Below are 2,313 nucleotides of genomic sequence, written 5' to 3'. Positions count from 1 at the left end.
ATATCTTCAAGTTAGGTTATTTTATGGTGCTGTAACAAACCACTCCCTGCTCTTAGAAGCATGTCCAGTGTAGTTTGGCAGGAAGGCTCTGCTTATCAGTGCCATGGATATTGGCTGACAGTAGGTCAGCCAATTTACAACCCCATCATCTCAATAAAGGTCTTTAAGAATAGAAAGAGAACACAGACAACTCTTTCACTGGCTCTTAAACATTTCCACCTGGAAGTGAATAACATTTCATGAGCCAAAGTAAGACACATAGCCAGTTCTAATTTAGAGTAGCAAGTATAATCATCTTATCTGCCTAGAATGTCAAGATAATTGAAAATATTAATGAGTACTACCAATATCTACCATAAGAGATTTGTGAAATATTTGTATTTTGGAGGTATAAATGGATGAGATTGTCTACAGAGGTAAAAAGTGCATTGATTTAAAAAAACTCTATATAAATACTAATTTCTAGCAGACATTCTCTAGAAGAATAATGCACCCTTTCTAATAAAGGTGATTGAAATCTCCTTTTGGATAAAGGTAATAGAGATCTTCTGCTAATAAACATGTGAAAGCCAACTAGAAAAGGAAAATATATAAAAGCAAGAAAAATCTTAAGTAGCTAAAATAATAAATGTTCATTGAATAATTGAAGTAATGTTATATACAATTTTTAAAATTGAAATTTTGGTTAGTATGATGTCAATTTTGAAATAATAAAAATCACAACAATAATGCAGAAAAGCTAAAAGTCTTAAATGGGTCAAGGATGAGGATATAAAGTTTTTAAAATATCATTAATAATTGCTTATTAGTTATCAAAAACCCACAGATTTCATAAATGTATACCAATACACCTTATTTCTGTTTCCTTTTCTGTTTTTTTTTTTTTTTTTTTTGAGACAGGGTCTTGTTCTTTCGCCCAGGCTGGAGTACACTGGCAGGATCTCAGCTCACTGCAAGCTCTGCCTCCTGGGTTCATGTGATCCTCCCACCTCAGCCTCCCCAGTAGCTGGGATTACTGGCAGGCACCACCAAGCCTGGCTAATTTTTGTATTTTTAGTAGAGTTGTGGTTTCACCGTGTTGGCCAGGCTGGTCTCAAACTCCTGACCTCAAGTGATCCACCCACCTCAGCCTCCCAAAGTTCTGGATTACAGGTGTGAGCCACTGCTCCCAGCCTTGATATACCTTATTTCTTTTTTTTTTTTTTTTTTTTTTTTTTTTTTTTTTTTTTTTTTTTTTTTGAGACGGAGTCTCGCTCTGTCGCCCAGGCCGGACTGCGGACTGCAGTGGCGCAATCTCGGCTCACTGCAAGCTCCGCTTCCCGGGTTCACGCCATTCTCCTGCCTCAGCCTCCCGAGTAGCTGGGACTACAGGCACCCGCCACCGCGCCCGGCTAATTTTTTGTATTTTTGGTAGAGAAGGGGTTTCACCTTGTTAGCCAGGATGGTCTCGATCTCCTGACCTCATGATCCACCCGCCTCGGCCTCCCAAAGTGCTGGGATTACAGGCGATATACCTTATTTCTTAATTCAAGTTAAATTTACTTCCAAGTTTTAAGAACCATAACAATTAAAAATCAACAGCCGTGTGCGGTGGCTCACGCCTGTAACCTCAGCACTTTGGGAGGCTGAGGCGGGCAGATCACCTGAGGTCGGGAGTTAGAGACCAGCCTGACCACCATACATGGAGAAACCCTGTCTCTACTAAAAATACAAAATTAGCTGGCCGTGGTGGCACACACCTGTAATCCCAGCTACTCGGGAGGCTGAGGCAGGAGAATCGCTTGAACCCATGAGGGAGAGGTTGTGTTGAGCCGAGATCTCACCATTGCACTCCAGCCTGGGCAACAAGAGCAAAACTCCGTATCAAAACAAACAAACAAACAAACAAAAACAGTCAATATTATCTTTTAACAAAACCATGCCTAAATCTTCTATTATTTACTAGATGTTTGAATTTGAGCAATTAGCATAGCATATATAAATCTTAATTATTTAATTGTTTAAATGGAGCTAAAATTTTATGGTAATGATTGAAATGTTACACATACAATGCTAGACATATAATGTTAATTTCTTATATCCTCTCATGCAATAACTTGGTGAACATTCAATATTTATTTCCTTGATTTACTATCTTGTTAATCATTTTGTGAATTTCAGTTATATCTATTGCAAACAGTTGCTTTTTCAGAGAACATAGCTCTCTTTTTTTGTTGTTGGATTATTATTATTAATATTTAAATTTATGTTCATATATACCAGCTTTTCTGCAAGCTGGTTACAAGGTGACCATTTTATTATTTTAAGTAAAGT

The sequence above is a fragment of the Homo sapiens genome, chromosome 2 (assembly GCF_000001405.40).
Source record: "Homo sapiens chromosome 2, GRCh38.p14 Primary Assembly".
In the NCBI taxonomy this organism is placed as follows: Eukaryota; Metazoa; Chordata; class Mammalia; order Primates; family Hominidae; genus Homo; species Homo sapiens.
Note: the sequence above shows the minus strand (reverse complement) of the source record.